The sequence below is a fragment of the Homo sapiens genome, chromosome 5, assembly GCF_000001405.40.
Source record: "Homo sapiens chromosome 5, GRCh38.p14 Primary Assembly".
Classification (NCBI taxonomy): Eukaryota; Metazoa; Chordata; class Mammalia; order Primates; family Hominidae; genus Homo; species Homo sapiens.
Window position 1 is genome coordinate 91,088,852 of NC_000005.10, and position 17,993 is coordinate 91,106,844.

Consider the following 17,993-nt stretch of genomic DNA (forward strand, 5'->3'; position numbering starts at 1 on the left):
ATCAAATTTGATAGTCTATCATTGGGCACAAATCACTTTGATCACTAATATACAAGTATTAGACAGCCTCTTTCTCCCTAGAGTATATACATAGCATTCAATCCAGGAATTGCCTTTTTTTTCTGAACACCATTGTTTCCCTTTTTTTTCTCTGTAAGGGCTTAGTCCAATGTTGCTAGTAAGAATGAGCAATAAGATATTAGTTCACTCCCTTATGCATTAAAATCCCTGCCACACCTGTGGGTATTGTGCCATTGTTTAAAAGGGTAATAATAATAAGCCTTTATATAACACAGATATCAAAGAGCTTTGTGGTCAGTCGTTGTTGTACATGCCTAAAAACAGCTCTGCGTGAGTTTTGTATCCATTTGCTTAATTAAAAATATAATTATTTAACAACAGAGAGTAAGTAATATACATACAGCTGTTGGGAAATACCATTATTTCTAAGACCAGACAATACTTTGATAATCTGATAGCTGTTGGGAAAAGAGATGCAGTTAATCACATTAATAGAGAGTCAAAGGATTTAACTCAAGTAGACCTTTTAGAACAGTGATATGGCAAGGGAAGTAAAAAAAAAATCAAATCAAATTTTAAATTTGTATTACAGTTTTGTGTGTGATGGTTAGAGAACCAAATTAAAGAAACAAAGGCAGCTTTGAAGTATGTTGGCATTTATCCAGATTGAGGGTCTATCAGAAAATAGTTCTGGGAACTGACATTTATGATAACTCATTCAAATATTTTCTTGCACAATTAGGGTTATCTTTAGGGTTAATTTTCCTGAGACATCATGCCATATTTGACTCAAGATTTCAGCATTGAATTTGAGCCTATTAACTCTTAATGAGTGCTAACTGATGTCTTATCAAACTATCTGTAAAAGATAACTGGCTATTCATGGCCAAATACATAGTCATCTAATGTCCAAAAATTATGAGACCATTTAGCCAGATTCAAAATACAGACATAGGCAAGTTTAAAGATGCATTGTACATTTTCATTGTATTACAAAAGTTAAGTGTGTTGGAAAATTGCTGTTAGCTGCCTGAGCATGCCTGTAGCTGAGTTTTGAGCTCCTTAATAGCTGAGTAACTGGTAATGTAGTTAGAAAACTAGGTTAAGCCAGTCTTCAGTCATTAGTTGGCTGACTTCATATTTGTTTTAGAACTCTAATCTTCTAAGAACTTGTTTTCATAATTCCACCTTATGAAACATTTATGAAATGTGTAGAAAATTACTACGACAGCTGTAAACCCAAATGATAATTCCCTTTCCCATAGTTTCAATAATTTTTTTCTTCACTAGAAGAAAACAGAGCACTTAACCTTTTCCTTAAGAATCACAGATCTATTTGATCCCCCCTCAGCAAAATATTATCTGGCACTTTTGAAGTACATGGTTCAAATAGAATTACTCTAATAATAGTTTTTGCGAGGTCTGTGTGGGTATGTCTCATCTAACTTGGTTATTCTCCTTAGATTCAAAATTATATCCTGCAAATTGAAAATTATATATAGCTTTTGCAAGGCAAGACCATAATTCTAGGCTTGTACCATTTTTTTTTCAACCCCAATAAATCACATTCAAAGTAGACCTGACACTGGACTGTCTTTTAGCATCCAGGAGAGCCCTAAGTCAGCTCTTGACAAAGTACTGCGTTTTAAGTTCCCAGAAAACCTTGAGACTCCACTGAGAATTTGCTCACATTCTCCTCTTTAACCCTGGAAAATATACTCTAGGCCAATACTGATTCACTTCTCTGCCTGCAGATCTAGTGTGTCACCTGCACAGATCTTTCCAAATCATGCTTGTATCCTTCACATATCAGTAAGGGTCAGGGTAAATCCATGTCAGAAGGTAGTCGGTGGAAGCCTCCACTGTGGTTATGTTTACTGTTCCTACCTTTACCTCTAAAGTACAAGCTGCTTAAATTACCTTCTAAAGCAAAAATTTAAAAATTGTGGGTCACACAGTGCATTGATGAGTCCCACTGCCAACCTATTTTACATGGAATAGGATGGCATGGGAGAGAGTAGAGTGGATGGGATAGGATAGGATAGGATAGGAATCAAAGTGTGTCATACATTAACTTGGGTTTCATAAAAGTTTTCTTTCAAGATTGTGTAGTTCACATGTAAAATGCATTTCTCACCGTGGTTTGTGGTCAGAGTTTGAAAGTCAGTATTATACAGTAAATTTGACTTCTCAATGGCCCTGGAATTGACATATGTCTATGGAAATCTTAGATAAGGTGGATTGTTTCTGGGAAGCATTCAATGCTTGCAGCACACTTTTTCTCCCTCCCTCTCTTTTTCCCTCCCATTAAAAAACAATCCCATTGAAGTGTCTCTATGGGAATGTTACTCATAGGCAGCTTTGTTTACAAGCCACAAACTCAAATTTTTTATCAAGCTCCTGCAGCCCAAAAGCAATTCTCTCCCTGCTGTGACATCCACATTTCTCTGTGCACCTTCCCTACTCTTTAAAGAGTGAAGGAGATAGTGGGGTTACAATTTCTTGTCAATTTTACTTTTAACTGTAGCATGTCTTGTCAATTTTACTTTTAACTGTAGCATGTCTTCTTAGCCAGTCCCATAGGCCTTTTTTTAATTCATTAAACTAGAATCAGAAACTGTCTTTTTTAATTCATTAAACTAGTGCTTGAGAATTATCTCAATGCTTCTGTGAGCTCACATTCTAGGAGAGTATTAAACAATAAACAACTATGTAAATTGTGTTAGGATTCTCCATAGAAACAGAACCAACAAGAGATCACCTGCAGATTGGAGACTGAAGAAGCTGGTGGTGTATTTCAAAAGCCTGAGAGGCAGAGGTGAATGGTGTAGATTTCAGTTTTAGTTCGAAAGCCTGAAAACCGGGAATGCTAAGGGCAGAAGAAGGAATGTTCCAGCTCAAGCAGTCAAGCAGAAGAAAGGTGAAGCTAGCCTTCCTCCACCTTTTTGGTTCTATTGAGGCCCTTAAGGTGTTGGGTCATGCCCACTTACATCAGGGAGGGCCATCTGCTTACCCAGTCTGCGAATTAAAATGCAAATCTCTTTTGGAAACACTCTCACAGACACACTCAGAAATAATGTCTAATCAGATATCTGGGCTTCCTTTAACCCAGTCAAGTTGACCCATAAAAGTAACCATCACATAAATCATATAGTAAGTTAGATGTCAGTAAGTGCTATGAAGAAACTGAGTTAGAAAAGAGAGAGTGGCAGGGAAAATAGAAGATGCTGAGATGTCCTTTTTTTTGAGATAAAGTCTTGCTCTGTCACCCAGGCTGGAGTGCAATGGTGCAATCTTGGCTCACTGCAACCTCTGCCTCCCAGGTTCAAGCAATTTCCTGCCTCAGCCTCCCGAATAGCTGGGATTACAGGTGCCTGCCACCAGGCTGGCTAATTTTTGTAATTTTTGTAGAGATGGGGTTTCACCATGTTGGCCAAGCTGGTCTCGAACTCCTGACCTCAGGTGATCCACCCGCCTCAGCCTCCTAAAGTGCTGGGATCACAGGTGTGAGCCACCATGCCTGGCCCAAGAGGTCCATTTTAAGTTGGTTAGTCAGGAAGTTTTTGGTGACAGTTTGAATGTGATAGAACTTCAGGTCTGCATGCTGAAAACAATACTCCTCAAAGTCTAGGCTTGCACCTGATTACATCAGGATAAACAAAAGGGTTCTATAGCCAAACAAATATGGGAGATTCTGGTATATATATAAAAAACTTAAACATGTTTCTTTACTATGTGATACTTTAGAACTTCAAACCTACAAAGGAAGAAATAGAATGAGACAAGATGAGAAGCAGCAAGGTAATGGGAATGGAGGGAAACTTAGGGGCAGAGTAAGAAAAATAAAGTTGGAAAACTATAGAAGATGAGAGATGAAGTCAATTAAATAGGGCCATGGTTGCTCTTTGAAAAATACTACCCATATGAGAACAATACAAGCAACAATTGCAGGGTATCTATAGCCATGTGCTCTTTTCCTAACGTGACTAAACTGATGGTGGTGAGAATTAGGATGATAGTAGCTAGTGCTTATTGAACATGTGCCTGATGCCCGGCCTTGTGCTGAGTGCTTTGTGTGCATGGTTTCCCTCTCTGGAGTGCAGATCCACACAGGTAGAGGCTGCCTCTGCCTTGGCTCATCTCTTTACTTCCAGCGCTTAGCACAGTAGGTATTCAATAGGAACATGGAATTTGTCTTATCAGCATTAACTAATACTTACCAAATTGATGCATGAATTATTAAAATTTCTACAATTATCCTTTATTTTTTATCAGGACTTACGGTACAGAGAAGTTAAGGAGTTTGGCTGAGGCCCACCCAACAGGCTCAAAAGTGATAGAATTGGAAGCCAGATGCAGATCTATCTATCCCTCGAGTTCATCCTCATTCAGAATATTGCCACAGAGCATTTATTTTCCTCCATGGATCATATCTTAAACGACTAGTGTACCTTAGACCCACTGCTGCAAAGCAAATTAACTTTTCCCTGAAATGCATTCTCTTCATTCTTGTACTTTCGAAGTCCAGGGCTTCTCTAAAAAGAAATTCAAGCTTTCAGATGAAAAGAGCAGCAGTAAAAAGCAGGGTCATATCGACAAGTCACATCAACAATTCTTTTATTGAACAAACATTAAGTGACTTACTTATGCCAGACCATGTGCTAGGCACTGGGAATATAAAGATAAGTAAGATAGACTGAGTTAGTGCACTTAATAACCTTGGTGAAAGAGATAGACACGTAACAAGTAATGACAAAGAGATACAGGCATGAAGAAATACAGTGTGCTCAGGGTGCCTGGAAGACTAGAGAGCATTCACTGGGAAGTAGGCAGGGACTGGTGGTGAGGTTTATCTTTTATGATATGGGAGGCAGTTAAAGGGTTTTTAGCCTTTAAATGGCCTGATCATATATGAAAATACATATAAACATGAACTTTTAAATATTCATACGTGTGTATCACGTGTATACATACGTAAGTTTTTTTTTTTTTTTTTTGAGATAGAGTCTCACTGTGTCACCCAGGCTGGAGTGCAGTGGTGCGATCTCTGCTCACTGCAACCTCAGCCTCTGGGGTTCAAGCAATTCTCCTGCCTCAGCCTCCCGAGTAGCTGGGATTACAGGCATGCGCCACCACACCCAGCTAATTTTTGTATTTTTAGTAGAGATGGGGTTTCGCCATGTTCGCCAGGACAGTCTCGAGCTCCTGGCCTCCAGTGATCTGCCAGCCTCCACCTCCCAAAGTGCTGGGATTATAGGCATGAGCCACTGCACCCAGCCATAATTTTTTAAAAGATGTTTCTCTGGGCCGGGCACAGTGGCTCACGCCTATAAACCCAGCACTTTGGGAGACTGAGGCGGGCGGATCACCGAAGTCAGTAGTTTCAGACCAGCCTGGCCAACATGATAAAACCCCATCTCTACTAAAAACACAAAAATTAGCTGGGCGTGGTGGTGGGCACGTGTCATCCCAGCTACTCGGGAGACTGAGGCAGGAGAATTGCTTGAACCCAGGAGGCAGATGTTGCAGTGAGCAAAGATCAGGCCACTGCACTCCAGCCTAGGCAACAGAGTGAGAGTCCTTCTATGTAAAAAAAAAAAAAAAAGATGTTTCTCTGGCCATAATAGGAGTAGGAGGGATGAATTGGAACAGACAGCTCTACCTACGAAGCTGTCAAAATAGGTTCACTAAAAGAGATGAAGTCCTCAGGAAAGACAATGTTCTAGGAAGGATTGTAGAGGACAAATTTCAGAGCAACTTAGAAGATAAAATAGACAAAATATGTTGACTAATTTGATGCAGCATATGAAGGAAAATGGGGCATCAGGGTAAATCGGTGCGAATGGTGATACCAGTACTCAGGAGGAGGAAAAAGTGTGATGAGAAGAGGGATACTAAATTCAGCTGTGGAGGAACTCTGTTTGAAGTGGTTTGGGGATCTCCAGGCCTGGAGCTTAAGAGAAGTGAAGATGCAGATTCAGAAAGAGTTGGCCCTAATGTGCTTGGAGGAAGATAACATTGGAGATTATTAATTTAGGAAGGATATCTTAATAAAATGAAGAACCTGGCACATAATAAGTGTTGATAGAGTCTAGCCTGCTGCAACAAATATTTGCAACCGTATCTGGAGACAGAGGCCAAAGGACCTAGAGTGAGTTTCTTATTATCTGAATGGGTTTTCAAGAGCTCTTTTGGAAGTGAGTTGGAGAACTGCTGAAAAGACAAGGAAATTCTAAAATTAGATCTGAGTATAGAACTAATGACTAAGGGTTAGGAATGCCAGCTACCCAAATGAGGTGGAGGGTGTTTCTTTGAACAATTTGCAAACCCAGTATTTTTTTTTTTTTTACACGGGGTCTCACTCTGTCACCCAGGCTGGAGTGCAGTGGCACAGTCAGCTCACTGAAACCTCCACCTCCCAGGCTCAAGAGAGCCTCCTACCTCAGCCTCCTGAGTAGCTGAGACTACAGGCATGCGCTTCCACACTTGGCTAATTTTTGTAGTTTTTGTAAAGACAGGGTTTTGCCATGTTGCTCAGGCTGACCCCAGTCTTTAACTTTGTTGTTCACTCTCCCATGCACAGTATCCTCATGGTGATTTGGCAGTTCTGTGAAATATGTGCCTTATTGCCTTCCTGTATGACCCTCAGTTTATTTGCTGAGAACAGTGGGGGCTGACTGCTGCGGAACTGGTGTTAATCCTTGTCAGGAAACCTCAAGGACACCAATATTTTCTCACCAAGAAAATATTCAGATCACGGAAACATCCTTGTCTCTAAGTATCTGTGAATTTCAGAATAAAGACCTATGTTTTAGAAATAAGGCTCTTTGATACCCTTTTGTTTCAATCTATCTTTCTAATTTAAAAATAATGTGTGCCTACTGTTGGAAATAGATCCATTAATATCTTTTTATTTAAATTTTTTTTTTGAAATAGTTTCACTCTTGTTGCCCAGGCTGGAATGCAATGGTGCGATCTTGGCTCACCGCAACCTCCACCTCCCAGGTTCGTGTCATGCTCCTGCCTCAGCCTCCCGAGTAGCCACCATGCCTGGCTAATTTTTGTATTTTAATAGAGATAGGGTTTCACATTGACCAGGCTCATCTGAAACTCCTGACCTCAGGTGATCCCCCCACCTCAGCCTCCCAAAGTGCTGGAATTACAGACGTGAGCCACTGCACTTGGCTGATATCTTAAATCCACATTTTTTCACAGTTGTGTTCTATGTTTTACATTGATGGGTTTGTTTTAGTAGCACATTCCAAATTGTTAGTATCAGAAGGTCAGTGAGGTAAAATTAAAACAAGTACTTTGGAAGGTTGTAAACATAGAATAAATTTCAGCTTCATGTAAATGGAGTGTGATTTCCATAATAAAGCCATTATTGTTGTCAGTGGTGCATAGCAATAAAGCCAAGGCTGCAATTACAAAGAAAACAGATAATACAACACCATACTTTCTTTAAAAATGGCAGTTAAATTCGTGGAAATAATATTTTTCACTAAAAATAAAGAGATGTGATGTAATCTCAATGGAATCTACTAACTCCCATGAGTAGACTTTCTTAATGATAGTAGCACTAATTGACGTATCTACTTGCTGGTTTGTTGTTTGTTGTTGTTGTTTGTTTTGTTTTCTTTGCCTTTCCAGAAGTAATTTCTTTCACTAAAACCTTTTCAAACTATTTTGGTTTTCACATTCGTGACTCCTTGTTAATTTAAGTATGTAAATTAAGTACTGTGATGATTTGATTTTTTTTTCTCCCTGCAGTGGAACTTCATCTTGACACAGCCTGAGTTACTTGGCATAGTCTTTTTTCTTTTTTGTTAATTGTAGTAAAATATACATAACAAAATTTAGCATCTTAAACCATTTTAAGTGTACACTTCAGTGTCACATAAGTACACTGACAATGTTGTGCAACTGTCACCACTATCCATGTTTCCAGAACTTTTTCATCACTCCAAACAGAAACTCTATATCCATTAAACAATAACTCACTATTCTGCACTCCTCCCAGCCCCTGGTAACTTCTGTTCTACTTTCTGCCTCTGAATTTGCCTATTCTAGGCACCTCGTGTAAATGGAATTATTATTTGTCCTTTCATGTCTGGCTTGTTTCACATAACATTTTCAAGGGTCATCCATGGTGTAGCATATATTATAATTTTATTCCTTTTTAAGCTTCAGTATCTCAGTATGTTTAGGCTATTACAGAATACCCTAGAGCAGGTAGCTTACAAACAGCAAAAATGTATTTCTTACAGTTCTGGAGACAGAAAGTCCAAGATCAAGGTGCCAGCAGATTCAGTGTCTGGCAAGGGCCCAGATTTCTGGTCCATAGATGATGCCTTCTTGGTGTGTCCTCACATGGTGGAAGGGGCAGGACAGCACCCTGGGGCCTCTTTTATAGGTGCACTAATCCCATTCATGAGGGCTCTACTCTCACAACCTAATCACCTCCAAGCAGTCCAACCTTCTAATTTTATCATTGGTGATTAGGTTTCAACATATAAAGTTTGGGGGGACACAAACATTCAGAACGTGGCACTGACTAATATCACATTATATGCAAATAGTATATTTTATTTATCTATTCATCTGTTGATGGACATTTGGGTTGTTTCCACCTTTTGGCTATTGTGATACTGCCATGAATATTGGTGTGCAAATATCCATTTGAGTACCTGTGCCTTCACTTTTTTGAATATATACCTACAAGTGGAATTGTTGGATCGTATGGTAACTCTGTGTTTAACATCTTGAGGTTCTACCAAACTGTTTTCCACGGCAGTTGTGCCATTTTACATCTCTATCAGGCATGCACAAGGGTTCCAATTGCTAAATATGCTCACCAACACTTACTATTTCTTGTTTTTTTGATAATAATCATTCTAGTGGGTATGAAATGGTATCACGGTGGTTTTGATCTTCGTTTCCCTAATGACTAGTGATCCTGAGCATTTTTTCATGTGATTATTGGCCATTTGTATATCTTCTCAAAAGAAATGTCCTTTGTCCATGTTTCAAATGGATTGAATGGGTATTTTGTTGTTAAGTTGTAGGAGTCCTTTATTTTATATAGCACAGTCTTATATAGATACTCATTTCTTGGGTGCAACACTGTGTTTTTAGGGCCTCCTTTTATTGAGAACATTGAAATGATTCTGTTTTATCTTCACTAATTCACTCCTAAACACAACTTGTTTCCAATATTACCAATTACAAATGCTTTCTTTGGTAAATATTGAATTATAGACAGCAGAGAAGTTATTAGTAGTTCATCAAATGCGAAATAACAGCTTAGGAAATATAAAACCAAAGTGATTTTCAATTGAATGGAGCACTGTTTTTCAGTTTGCCAAATGGAATTTATAGTCACTGTTTAACAACAACATGCCCCCCAACCAACTTTCATCACCATCACCCCCTCCCAATACCTCTTTCCTTTTGACTTAGGCCCTAAAGAGGGTTAAAGGTGCCTCCTCAGAGGCAGATTAACCATAAAGCTAACGTAGCTTAAGTTTCAGGTCCTTTCACCAGCCTTGGCCCCTTCCAAGATCCTGCACCTAATTACGGTTTTGTAACTTTTGTTTTTTAAAGAAGCCTCCCTAATATAAGCTTCAGGCCCACAAAATCTGGATATGCCTCTGGATATGTTTCTTCTATCTGAAATCATCATCCTAATCATTGTTGTACTTCTGGAAGGCAAGCCTGGGATCTATTAAGTATGCTGAGTTATTTATGACTAGCTTTTTCCTTACGGAGTTTCTAGTCTGGGGTGCCAAACTACTATACTTTTCTGCAGAATTCCAGGAAAATATAAGCCATGGACATTCTCATGAGCCCCAGTATGCTCCCTTAGCTTCTCCACTAAGCTCTGTCAGCACATACCACTCGCTTTGCTCTAAGCACTTAGATGAACATGCAGGCCAAACTTTGAAAATTGGTTCCTAGTTGTTCATACAAAATGTGCATGTCCCTTTGTACTCCGCCCAGAGCCATAAATAGAATTTTGTTCTTACACAGTGGAAGAAAAGAATGCAGTTGCCAGACTTGATACCTAATCTTTGAAAATTTTGTGAGCACAGCTTAGGGGTTTTCTAAATATTAGGGTATCTTGTCAGAAGTAAAAATGAGCCTTCTGGCCCTTTAGCAAATTATATTATTTCATTAAATAAAAATGAATTTTTCTAAAAATTAAATAAATCTTAATGTATATTTTCTTGTCCTGCTGCAAAGCATTAGTGACAAAGAAATTATTCATCTACGTAAATCTTCTTGTATTAGTCTTACTTTCCCTGTACAGTTATAATAATAATTTTGACAATTTGTATATATTGTGATGAAGGGCATATATCAGCACGGTCCCTTCTAAAGCCTTATTTCTCTCTCAAAAAAAAAAAAAGTGTTCGGGTTCCCTTTCTCCTCACCACTTCCTTTCTCCCTCTTTGCCTCCTCTCCTTGTTCTTTCTTTTTCCTCCCTTTCCCGAACAATTCCATCTACAGCCACCAGGTAGTACAGAGCAAGGTGTGCATCTGCAGGAAGGGGCCCAAGCCTCGGTGTCAGAAGCCAATCGTTGTGAGGAAGGAATCCATGTGAGGGGTGCAGTGCTGCCCAGCTGGAATTGTGGGACACTGAGTGAGTTTGGGAGGCCACCTGAGCGAGGGAATGGGTAACAGCAATAGGAAGTTGGTTACATGCAGGGGAGTGGATCGAATCAGTAGATATATTAAGAATAATAAGCAATAGCGGGGTGCGGTGGCTCACGCCTGTAATCCCAGCATTTCGAGAGGCCGAGGTGGGCAGATCACCTGAGTCCAGGAGTTCAAGAATAATGAGAAGTAGATCTCTTACCAACACAGAAAAGTTACAAATATGGAAAGGGAGAAAACTGGAATTAACCCCGTGATGTTGGGTTGGAATTAGAAGCATTGAAATGAACTAATGAATTTCAATATATAGAGATAGATAGAGTAAAACAGATCTAAATGTGTTTGTGTGTGCATATGCATGTGTATCCTCTATCTACTAAGAGAGCTTAGGAGCAGCAACAGCAGTGACCATACCTAGCCCCAGATCACAGTTTCTAAATACCATTCTCCCCTAAAAGAAACCAGGACTGGGGCAGAGAATATTTGAAACATCTTGGGCCAAAAAGCAAACAACTGCTAGTAGAATGATGAGGATATAACCAAAGTCACAGAAACCATCTTGAAAGGGCTCCTGCTAGGGACAACTTGGCATCGAAATAAACAATGATAGTGGCCGGGTACCATGGCTTATACCAGTAATCCCAGCACTTTGGGAGGCCAAGGCATGCGGATCGCTTGAGCCCGGAAGTTCAAGACCAGCCGGGGCAACATGGCGAAACCCCATCTATACAAAAAGTACAAAAATTAAGTGGGCGTGGTGGCATGCGCCTATAGTTTCAGCTACTTGGGAGGCTGAGAGGTGGCAGGATGGCTTGAGCCCAGGAGGTCAAGCCTGCAGTGAGCTGTGACAACACCACCACACTCCAGTCTGGGCAATGGAGAAAGACTTTGTATGACCCTATGTGAAAGAAAAGGAGAGGAAAAAGAAAAGAGAAAGAAAACAAAAAAGGAAAGAAGGAAGCAGGGAGGGAGGAAGGAAGGATGGAAGGAAGGAAGGAAGGGGAAAAGAAAGAATAATGGATAATATGCTAAATAAGCAGGAATATATTAGTCTACATTAGAAGATAAATAAGTGGATAAATCAAACATTTGATAAGGAAAAAGATATTTACATAGTTTCAAAGAAATGCCACATATAAAACTTCTTAATTACACAGGGGAAAATGCTAACTTTACAGTGAAGAATTTGTGCAGCCATCATCTTAATCAAGTGACCAAAATGAACATCTTCAGTAACGGGAAAAATTGAGTTCTTGCGTCACCTTATAGAATGCTGTAAGATGAACTCAGCATCCCTTCTGTGATTTCTAACGGCTTATAATCTAAATCTAATCACGAGAAAAATCAAATAAACTCAAATTTAAGGACACTGCAAGAAAAACTGGCTGGTAATCATCAAAAGTGTCAGGGTTACAAAAGTCAAGGACACACAGAAGACCCATTTGGGATTAAGAATCTACGAAGACGTGTCAACTATACACGACTGGATCTCTGGATCTCTCTGCTAAAAAGGAAATTACTGGTATAATAAAATGGAATCTGAGAATGATAGTACTATATCAGTGTTAATTTCCTAATTTGATGGCATCATGTTTATGTAGGAAAATGTCTTTGTAGAAAATACACATTATTCAGAGGGTAATGGGGGATCAGATTCACAATTTTCAATTAATTCAGGGAAAAAAAAACTTTCTCATTGTACTCTACTTGCACGTCTTCTGTATGTTTGAGATTGTTTCCAAGTAAAATTAAATTTGAAAATTGCTAAAGTTGTAAGCAACTGTTTAAATTTCCATAGTGGACGAGGATTTTAGGTGTTAATTGATGATAGTGGGTAAAGAAGGGCTTTGAGGTCTGTCATGAAAGTTGTCAGTGGTGTGGTCTACCCTGATGTCTTTCAACAGCTTGAAAATGTGTTTATTTGTGGCTGCAAAGATCCGATTCACTTTCTAAATCTTATATAACTTGTCACTTAAATATTAAGATCGCCTCTATATGGTTATTATTCTAAAACTCAGATAGCAAAGAAAACTCAAAATAGACAAGTGGAAAGGGTAATAAAGTCCCTTGGCCCTGAGAAAATCTATTCTGAAAACGTCTGAAACAAACTGCATTAGAACATGTGTAGAATAAGTTTAGTTGATCATTATGAATCAGTCACTTCATCTTTGCTCTTAAACTTACCAATAAATTTTGGTGTCTTCTCAGTCAGAAAAAAGATGTGAGTACAGGTTTTTCCAACACACACACACGTGCGCATGCACACACACACACACGCACACACGCACGATGTTATATAATTTCTGTTCTTAAGTGCCTGGTTGGAATATGCTAATTTCGGGAGCACACTACTGCCTGCCATTTTCTGGTGGAACAGTCTTTTAAGGAGATTTCTACAAATCCATTGTTGCTTTGTGGTACTTACTGAACAGTCCAGCAGGTGGTAGTCTAGGAGAGGAACAGTTCTCATCCTCCCCCAGCCATCCCTGGGCCTACCAGCAGCCCCATTTGCAAAACAGAATGTGGACTCAGCAATGTGCCTTCTCCCCTCTGGCATAAGAATGGGATTTCCAAGGTTGTTCTCTCAAAATGGGCACTAGAATACCACAGAAAGAAGCCAAAAATAACTGTGTATACATGTGACTGTGCAGTATTCTGAAGCTCAAAAATTCTTTTTTTTTTATTTCTAGAAATTCCACTGATTTTATATCTCTTTGCTCTGATTTCCGTGACATGGCTTTGGGGAGGACTACACATGGCCTACAGACACTTCTGGATGTTGGTTCTCTTTGTCATTTTCAACAGTCTGCAGGTAAGCCTTACAATTTGGTTAGTGACAACATACATTTATCTTAATGAACACAAGGCATAGAATTTCAATATTAAAGAGTCAAGCATCCACACACAGGTGAATTTGTGTACATAATAACATCATATAGAGTTGTAAAATAAAATGATAGGAACCTAAATCCTTAACATTTGAAATATGACTGGGATTCTAACTTGCTCATTATACAATTAGGGAAGACAAAATATTTATTCTCCTTCATTTTGAACATCGAAGTAACTACACAAACATATTTCTTTTTCAGTAGGATTGATGTTTATCAACTTTGCAAATGGCAGTCATGTAAGATCAATGCACATATTTGGATTGTGGCTGGGTCTAGAAATTAGATCAATTGAGGAGTGAAATAGTGATGTTCAAGCAGTCCCCTCTTAAGTGTGATGCTTAGTGAAATGAGAGTGTTTGGTTCACTAAAACATGACTGACATCCCCTAAGTCCAGCAGTGCCCAGCTTAAATTAGTTTTATAAGCATGCTTGGATAACTAGAAATTATATAACTGCAGCAAAAATGAAAGCTGAGATTTTTAGTACTTTTGTTAAATGGAAAAATGTTGCACCCTGATATTAACAAATGGAACAAATGAACACATTTTCCTTGTTTTCCAAAGTGAAACGATCTGTCCTAGACTAAAAGAATTTCTTAAATTTATTAAATTATCTCTAAATAGTCCTTCTTTTGGCTACCATCTTGCAAGGATCATGTGTGGCAAACACACAGACATATACACACCTTCAGAATTGTAGCATACAATTGAAATGTGACTCCAGTCATTTTTTAGGTTTGCACCTGAGCAGACAAACTCTTCAGTTAGATCATAGCTTACATGATGGTGCCTAATCAAGGACATTATCAACTTAGGAAGGGGAAAATACAAAACAATTAAAAGTTTAGAACCAAGTTGCTACAAGTTTCTATATAGACAACTGTCTGTGGTTATAGTTACAGGTGAGCACTTACTATTGCCAGGTGGTAAAGAAGACAGTCCGGCCTCTCTGGGATCTGATGATTCAAAGAGTGAACAATCAGCTCTAAGAATCTAGTATGGCAGGTGCCATGTAAAGAGAGCATTTTGAGAGTGAGTAGGGGCCTGTTGACCATCAGGGCAGAGCCATCAGGGCAGAGGCTCAGTCTTGGTCACCTTTAGATCCCTAGGGCCTAGTGGAACTAAGAACAAGGTCCAAACTGACAGCCTGCAGGTGTGTTTTGCTTGGCAGACACACAGTGTTATATGAAAGATTGTTTTAGATTTTCAAATAGTTGCTTCAAACTTTTAAAATTGAGAATTTTCACATTAAAAACCTGAATTGCTGGCTTTTTTTGAAGGCAGTATTTGCATGGCAGCAATTTCCAAGCCCTGAGCAGACCTGATATACTTCATTCATTTTACTTGCCCCTGAGATTATGACACATTTAATGCTTATTAAATAATAAATGAGTGTATGGTTAGAGATGGGAATTTCAGGCAGAGAAAACTGTTAGCCAAGGCTGCAAGAAGGGAAAATGACTAATCTCGCCTAGATTAAGCAACGTGTTGAGAAGGAAAAAGAAAGGTCTTGCAATTAGAGAAGAAGTTGTAGGAGAGGAGACAGAAAGGGTAGATTGGTTTAAACGCCGGCTTTCCATGCTTGGGATGCTGAGCTTCAATCTTTAAGCAAGGGGAAGCCATCGAAGTTGTGATTTTTCTTTGTATTGTTCTAATTTTTTTAATTTTGTCAATTAATTTTTTTTTCATTTTGAATGGGATGACATGTTTGTACTGGAAAGATAACTGGAAATGTTTAGGAGAGGATATTGAAAAAAAGAGCAGCTCTAAGTAGGTAGGTTATTGTTATATTTCAGACTGTAGATGTTCTGGCAGTGTGCCTGGGAATAAAAAGTAGGTGACAGGTTTGACAGTTGTTACAGAGATAAACACTTTTCATTTTATTGTTTAATTGACACATAATAATTGTATATTTATGGGTACATAGTGACGTATTGATACATATAACATGTAGTGATCAGATTAAAAGAATTAGCATATCTATCATCTCAAACATTCATCATTACTTTGTGTTGGGAAGTTTCAATATCCTCCTTCTAGCACTTTGAAACTATAAAATATTGTTAACTATAGTCATCCTGTAGTGCTATAGAACACAAGAACTTACTTCTTCTATCTAGCTGTAATTTTATATCTTTTAACAAATCTCTCCCTATCCCCTTTTTCCCCCTACCCTTCCCAGCTTCTAGTACCCTCTGTTCTACTTTTTACTTCTATGAGATCAACATTTTTTAGCTTCCACACATGAGTGAGAGCATGCAATGTCTAACTTTCTGTTCTTGGGTTATTTCACTTACCATAATGTCCTCCAGTTCCATCTATGTTGCCATAAATAATATTGGGTTGATGCAAAAATAATTGTGATTTTTGTCATTAAAAGTAATGGCAAAAACTGCAGTTACATTTGCACCAACCTTTTCTTTTCTTTCTTTTCTTTTCTTTTTTTTTTTTTTTTTGAGACAGAGTCTCACTCTGTCACCCAGGCTGGAATGCAGTGGCGCGAACTCAGCTCACTGCAACCTCCACTTCAGGCTCAAGTGATCCTCCCACCTTAGCCTCCCACGTAGCTGGGACTACAGGCACATGCCACCATGCCTGGCTAATTTTGTTTGTTTGTTTGTTTGTTTTGTAGAGACAGGGTTTCGCCATGTTTCCCAGGCTGCTCTTGAACTCCTGAACTCAAGCAATCCACTCATCTTGGCCTCCCAAAGTGCTGGGATTATAGGCATGAGCCACCGCACCCAGCTGTCATTCTTTTTTATGGCTGAATAGTATTCCATTGTGTGAATTTACCATTTTCCCTGTCCATTCATTGGTTGTTGGACACCTAGGTTGATTCCACATCTTGGCTATTGCAAATAGTGCAGCAACAAACATGGGTGTGCAGATGTCTCTTCAATACACTGATTTTCTTTCCTTAGGATAAATGCTCAGTAGTGGGATGGCTGGATCATATGTAGTTCTATTGGCAATTTTTTTTACGAACCTCCATACTGTTCTCCATAGTGGTTGTACTAGTTTATATTCCCACCAGCGGTGTAGAAGAGTTCTGTTTTCTCCGCATCATCACTAGCATTTATTTTTTGTCTTTTTGATGATAGTCATCCTAACTGGGGTGAGATGATAATTCACTGTGGTTTTGTTTTGCATTTCCCTGATGATTAGTGATGCTGAGCATTTGTTCATATATTTGTTGGTCATTTGTATAACTGTTCAGATCATTTGCCTGTTTTATTCAGATTGCTTTTGCTGTTGAAATGTTTGAGTTCCTTGTATGTTCTGCATATTAATTATCTGTCAGATGAATAGTTTACAGATATTTTCTCTCATCTTCTAGGTTGTGTTTTTTACTTTGTTAATTGTTTCCTGCTGTGCAGAGGCTTTTTAGTTTGACATAATCCCATTTGTTTATGAAATAAGCATTTTATAAATGCTTTAGAACATTGGTCTAGGGAAAGATTTTATAAATAAGAATCTTTAGATTTTTATAATTTTATAAATAGATTCTTATTATATTTATAAACCTTTTATTTATATTTAATAGCCTGTAAAATCTTTTATTTATATTTAATATCCTTTTATATTTATAAACCTTTTATAAATATGAATCTATTTATAAAATTATAAAGTGAAGCATTTCACCTTGTTTTCTTCCAGTAATTTTATAGTTTTGGGTCTTACATTTAGGTCTTTGATCCATTTTGAGTTGGTTTTTGTATAGGGTGAGAGTTGGGGGTCTAGATTTTTTCTTTTGCATGTGGACATCCAGGTTTCCTAGCGACCTTTATTGAAGAGACTTTCCTTTCCCCAATTAATGTTCTAGCTGCCTTCTGTCAAAAATCAGTTGGCTGTAGATAATGTGGATTAATTTTGTGCTTCTCTATTCTGTTCCATTGGTCCATGTGTCTTTGTTTATGCCAATACCATGCTGTTTTGGTTACTATAGCTTTGTAGTATATTTTGAATTCTGATAGTACAATGCCTTCAGCTTTGTTCTTTTGCTTAGGATTGCTTTAGTTATTTGAGGTCTTTTGTGATTCCACACAAATTTTAAGATTTTATTTTATATTTCTATTTCTGAGAAGAATGTCATTGGTATTTTGATAGGAATTGCATCAACTCTGTAGATTGCTTTGGCTAGTATGGTTCTTTTAACAATATTAATTCTTCTGACCCATGAGGAGCATGAGATAACTATTAATGAAATTTGGTTAACCAATTAAATATAGGAAGGTAAAGTGTGACAGAGGAACATCACTTAGAAATTCCTGGTTTGAATGAATGGCTGGGCACTGACATCTTTAGTCCAAATGGAGATCACATAAATAGCAAGGTCTAGGGAATAAGCAGTGAAGTTGGTGAAATTTAGGAGACGTTGCTAAATACTGTATACCAATGTTTTAGCAACTGGGTACAGAGATAA

The 17,993-nt window shown here is 38.4% G+C and overlaps 1 protein-coding gene across 12 annotated transcripts in view; it reads left to right on the top strand.

Moving 5' to 3' along the window:
• Positions 1-17,993, top strand: part of ADGRV1 (adhesion G protein-coupled receptor V1) — a 605,641-nt gene that overhangs the window by 530,055 nt on the left and 57,593 nt on the right. For all 12 annotated transcript variants that reach the window (NR_003149.2, XM_017009963.3, XM_017009969.3 and 9 more), the window contains one exon: positions 13,368-13,489. Coding sequence is in view for 11 of the 12 variants with exons in the window: in XM_017009963.3 (XP_016865452.1) it covers positions 13,368-13,489 (122 nt within the window). In the remaining variant the exon portion in view is untranslated. The remainder of the gene's footprint in view (positions 1-13,367; positions 13,490-17,993) is intronic.